Here is a 6,409-nt window from a genome sequence, read left to right as displayed (position 1 = left end):
TAAATTATTGGTGGGGTCCTTGGGCCACAGATAAAAGTGCTACTGGATAAAAGATCTGCATTTTAGTTTTATAAAGGAAAATAAGCATTGAAATGGAAAAAGGAAACTCTGAATATGCAGCAATTTTATTTAAAATTGCATTACGTTAATTTTTTAAAAAATAAAATAGAAAAAATTTAGGTTCAACATGTCATGTTGGGATTTGGATAGCATGTATACTTTGCTGTGCATCCATTCATTAACCTGTTTATCTATCTATCTATCTATCTATCTATCTATCTATCTATCTATGTCTGCTGCCATAGGAACCATATTCCTGGGCTACTGTGAAAGCTTCTCTTTTTCTGGTCCCTACCCTCAGAGGTCACAGTGGCTTAGAACCCAAAGGACTTGGGACTTAGTCCACATTTTCAACTGCATATGGTTTAAGTAGAATTTCTAGGATTCACCTGGGAACATGAACTATGGATTTAGTGGGGAAAAAGTTTTCTAATTCCAATTGACTGACATACAAAGGCATTTTGGAACACAGTCTGTTTTTAATCTAATTGTTTCTAAAACTTTCTATGCATTTATGAAATATATGTAATATATTGTTCTCTATCAAGTATGTACATTTTTGGGGACTGCAGATGCTGTGTCCATTTAGGGCCCATGGGAGATAGTTTATTTAAAAGTACAAAGCTTGTTCTCCTCACTCTTGGCTGACTTCTGAGGAATTATATCTCAATCCTGGGACCTTTTTCTGGATCAAATGAGACTTTTTTATATTTATGGCTTTTCCAAAAGCAGATATTTCAACTACTTATAATTTAATGAAGAATTATACTACTTTTATTTTTAAAATTCCCAGAGAAAGTTCCCAAAGCTCTCTTAGTCATTAAGGTCTCCCCAGATACTCCTTGAGCTGTTACTGCTGCACAACCGTACTGGAGCCGGCACTAATTTCCCCATCGTGCATCCAGAAATCAATACCCTGCTGGCACACTGATGGTGAAGTAGCATAGGATTTATTCCCTGGCATTGGTGGCTTCAATCAATTTCCTTGTGCACTTCATATTTTTTTAGTTTTTGCAAATTTATGTCCTTGTTCCTTCCGCTCTCTTATTCATTATCTAGTTAGAACAGATTCTATAGTCATATTAAAATAACCAGCAAATAAAGAGGAAGAGGTAGAGTCAGCCTCTTAGGAGGAGTCAGACAGCCTCAAAAGTCCACATTCAGTGTCAACCATTGTTACTTTGTTTGGCATCAAAAGTGGGAACAAGGATTAAGAAACACAGATTACATCTATCATCCCATAGAACAGCATACTAAGACAGAAAATAAGTCCTTGTTCCTCATATTTTCTAAGAAGCTTTTTCCAAAGTTCTGAAACAGGAAACTAGAACCATTTCTCTGGTTACGTAAGCTCTTCTACCAGGGCAAATGAAGGATAGATGTGCCATTTTGGGTATTTAGGAAAGAAATTTTAGCTCACACTGGCAACATGCTTTCTGGACAACTATGTATGGATGGCTGTTGTCATGAGCACCATCTTCCTGGATGTAAAAGCTGCTGTTCCTCTGGTTTCCCTCCTTCAGAGTCTCCAGTAAGTCAGACTGAAAGATAACAGGGACTTGTAACTCAGTTCTTGGATGGTATATTTTTAGCTACATCATGAGTTGATTAGACTCTCTGCAATTCACAGAACCTAACCATAGAGTTGTGAAGGTATAAATTCCAAACTCCAAATAACTGTATCCGCAGATTTGGCCACAGGAATTGGGGCTGGTTTGGTGGACCCAAGGCAAATGATGGTTCATATAATTGCTAATGCTTCTGATTCAAAGAGGTTGGGAACAGATAATTTGTTTTTGTGCTTGGAGCTTGGATTATGATGCAAGACTAGAAGAAACAAGAGGAATAGAAAGATCAAAGTAGAAGCTGGGGAGGGAGGAAACTGGCAAAAACACAAGCAGGGCTATTTATGAAGATAGATGGCAAGTAAGATGGAATGAGGTCACTATTATGTAACTTTAGAACATTTTCATCACCCCAAAAAGAAACTTGATACCTATTACCAGTCATTCACCCTTCCTTACACTTCTCTCTTCACTGTCCAACCCAGTTGTTAGTAACCACTAATCAACTCTCTGTCTCTATAGATTTGACTATTATGGACATCTCATATGAATGGAATCATGCAATATTTGTTTTTTTGTTACTGACTTCTTTCACTTCACATAATGCTTTCAAGTTTTATTCAAGTTGTAAGATGTATTGGAATTTCATTCCTTTTTATGTTCTTCCTTTTCTTTTTATTATTGGCTTGCTTTTAATTAGCTTTAGCCTTTAAGTTCTTACAAATGTAACCAGCTAGGTTAGGATAGGAGGAGCTATTTCCCAACACTTCTCATGTAAACCAAATTTTAGGATTTTCTTTGTAGTAAAACAGGCTCTTTAGTGTTTACAAGATTATTCCTGAGCCGTAAAAATTCTCTTTCTGGGTTTTCCCTCCTGTATTCCTCTATTCAATCTCAGGCTGCTACAATCAGACAGACAGAAAGTGTGAAGAGACTTTTTCTTGTATCTGTAGTGGAAACATTAGCAGCAGACAGTAACTTCTTTCACCTTTTAATTTTCAAACCATGTTCTATTGTATGGATATACCATGTATTAGTTATCGATTCATTAGTTGATGGACATTTTGGTTGTTTCCAGTTTTTGGCTAATACAAATAATGCTACTATAAACATTTATGTACCAATTTTTATGTGGACATGTCTTCACTTCTCATGGGTACATACCAAGGAATGGAATGGCTGGATCATATAATAACTCCATATTTAAGAGTAAACAGTCATCTGCCAAACTATTTGCCAAAATGGTCGCATCATTTTACATTCACATCAACATATATGAGTGTTACAATTTCTCCACATTCTCGCCAATATTTGTTATTGCTGTCTTCTTGAATTTAGTCATCCTAGTTAATGTGAAGTGTTATATTGTGGTTTTGCTTTGCATTTTCCTAATTACTACTAATAATGTACTTTTCATGTCCTTATTGGCAGTTCATATATATTCTGTGGAGAAAGGTATATTTAACCCTTTGCTCATTTAAAAAATTAGTATGTCTTCATGCACACATATGTTTATTGCGGCACTATTCACAATAGCAAAGACTTGCAACCAACCCAAATGTCCATCAATGATAGACTGGATCAAGAAAATGTGGCACAGATACACCATAGAATACTATGCAGCCTTAAAAAAGAATGAGTTCATGTCCTTTGTAGGGACATGGATGAAGCTAGAACAATCATTCTCAGCAAACTATCACAAGGACAGAAAACAAACACCACGTGTTCTCACTCAGGTGGGAACTGAACAATGAGAACACTTGGACACAGGGCGGGGAACATCATACACCGGGGCCTGTCAGGAGGTGGGGGGCTGGGAGAGGGATAGCATTAGGAGAAATACCTATTGTAAATGACGAGTTGATGGGTGCAGCAAACCAACATGGCACATGTATACTTATGTAACAAACCTGCACATTGTGCACGTGTACCCTAGAACTTAAAGTATATTAAAAAAATTTTAAAAATTAGGATGTCTTTTTATCACTGAGTTGTAAGACTTTAAAAATATATTCTAGATAAAAGTCACCTTTAATAATTTACAAATATTTTCTTCTATTATTTAGGTTGTTATATTAGTGTCTTCCAGAGAAAGAAAACCAATAGGACACACACACACACACACACACAGGCATACCTCCATTTATTGTGCTTTGCTTTATTATACTGAACAGAGCTTTCATTTTTCACAAGGTGAAGTTGTGTGGCAACCCTGCCGCAAGCAATTCTATTAATGCCATTTTTCCAACAGCAATATGCTCCCTTTGTGTCTCTGTGTCACATTTTGGTAATTCTCACAATATTTAAAACTTTATTATTATTATTATTATATCTGTTATAGTAATCTATGATAAGTGATCTTTGATGATAGCATTGTAATTTTTGGGGTCTATATGAACCATACCCATAAAAGATGGCAAACTTAATCAACAAAGGTTGTGTATGTTCTGATTGCTCCACTAACCACCCATTCCCCCATCTCCCTCACTCTCCTCAGGCCTCCCTATTCCCTGAAACACAATAATATTGAAATAGCCGTACAATGGCCTCTAAGTGTTCAAGTGAAAGGAAGAGTTGCACGCCTCTCTTTTCAAATTAAAAGCTAGAAATAATTAAATTTGCTGAGAGAGGAAGGTCAAAAACAATGATAGGCTGAGAGCTAGGCCACTGTGCCAAAGAGTTAGCCAAATTGTGAATGCAAAGGAAAAGTTCTTGAAGGAAATTAAAAGTGCTGCTTCAGTGAACACATGAAAAATAATGAAAAAAAGGAGACAGCCTTAATGCTGATGTGGAGAAAGTTGTAGTTGGTCTGGATAGAAGACCAAGCCAGCCACAACATTCCCTTAAGCCAAAGCCTAATCCAGAGCAAGACCCTAACTCTCTTCAATTCTACAAAGACTGAGAGAGGTGAGGAAGCTGCAGAAGAGAAGTTGGAAGCAGTGCTTGCTTCTTGCTGTACCTGCTGTATGCTGTTTGTGTCTCAGAAAATCTGCAAAACCTGCTGGTGACCAGTCCTCTGGGGCACTTGAAGACCACAGAGATGTTCACTATGGGCTCTTAGGACAATGGGGAAAATTATGTTTCACTGCGGTCTATGGGAGATTTTGGAAACTTGGACTCTGATAGAGGGTTTGAAGGAGACAATCAATTATTGTGTGATATTAGACACCATGGTGATATAATGGATTGACAGTTGTCTGACCAGGAAAGAATTGTAGCTGCTTCATCAACAGGATGTGTATCAGTTTTCCTTCATCATCCGAATAACCAGACTCTTTCAGTCAACCAGCTGTGAACTACAGCTCACTACCACATAGGCCCAGAAAGTCCTTCGTGTAGCAGGGCACCATGTACAGGTGTTGTGTGCAACAGCCCAGAAATCATTAATGTTGGAGATGATGGTTGAATAAATCTCTTCAAAGCTTATCACAAGGAAGCTGTAAGAACTGTAGGCAATGCAGATAGTAGTATACTCCATGCTGTAATCTTTCTTCGAACTCCTGAGAGATTCTTACTGTAAATTCGATTGGACAGTTAAAAACGTGGGATTTCACACAACAAGGAAATGAGCCTTCTCAGATATTGTCATGACTGGTGACTGAGTGCCAGTCCATTGTGTTGATAGAAATCTCATCAAACAGCATGTTATAGCTACTGGTGGCCAGGATGGAATGTTGAGTATTTGGAATGTTAGACAAGGTACTATGCCTGTATCTCTGCTGAAGGCTTACAGAGCTAAAATGTAGGAAGTTCACTTTCACCTATCCAACCCAGATCCTCCATTTATTGTTCTGAAGATGAATTCCTCTGGCACTGGGATGTTTCCACAGATGTACCATCACTCTTTCAACAAGGAGGAAGAGCTAGAACTTTTTTGTCCCATAGCATTAGTAACCAAGCTAATGTTCACCAGTCTCTCAAAGTTCTTGGCTCAGCACTGATCCTACAAAAGACCAAATTGAAATCACAAGGTTACTTCTCAACCCTGTCTGTGAACCGTTTGGATGTTTTTGGTCCTTGTCTTATTTGTGGAACTGATGCAGAAGCAATTTATACTACTGGACAACTTTTTTCAGAAACTACTGTAATTATAAGATTTTAGATAAATGTATAATCAGCCTTTTGCATTCTACCTTTTGTGCAAAATTTTATTATCAGAAAATGTGAGATTTGCAGGGGAAACATCAGTAAGCTACCGTTAGTGTCAATGCCCAGCTTTGGCTTTTGTTAGTTGGATATTCCCAGAACAGTTGCAGTATTTGATAGATGACCAATGGTAAAAAATTGTGAACATGTGGAAGAACTTCAGAGGGATTCTGGTGCTGATGAATAATACATTGCCTTCAGACAATTATTGACAGCTCATGGAACTATTTCTTCATTTTTGATGTTGTGGGACTTAACATCAGTGGTAGTTATGGGAACCACCAACAGGTTTCTATAATTTTTATCAGTATGTATACTCCTTCCTAGTGGCAATTACCAGTGTTAATGATTATTCTTTTTATTGAAAATATTTTCTATAATCCTTCTACACTTTATTTCCTTAATAATTTTAATAAACTTTTTCAGGCAAAATTGAGTAGAGCAAAAGTGAAACATTAATAGTTGCATTTAAAAATTTTTAAAGATAAAAATGTTTTGACAAGTTCTTTTGTAAGAATAGGTTTTCAAGCAGAACTCTTGTCAACTGCTTAGACCCAACTTTATTTTTCTTGAATTTCACAACATAGTTGAAAATTGCTAAACTGGACATTGTGCAACAAAGTAGAATTTGATATTGA

At 36.9% G+C, this 6,409-nt stretch overlaps 1 pseudogene; it reads left to right on the top strand.

Moving 5' to 3' along the window:
- On the top strand, nucleotides 4,571-5,896 carry LOC100288146 (nucleoporin Nup43-like; annotated as a pseudogene).

This window comes from Homo sapiens, chromosome 4 (assembly GCF_000001405.40).
Source record: "Homo sapiens chromosome 4, GRCh38.p14 Primary Assembly".
NCBI lineage: Eukaryota > Metazoa > Chordata > Mammalia > Primates > Hominidae > Homo > Homo sapiens.
The sequence above is the reverse complement of the archived record's forward strand: the minus strand, read 5'-3'. Positions and strand labels throughout refer to the sequence as shown.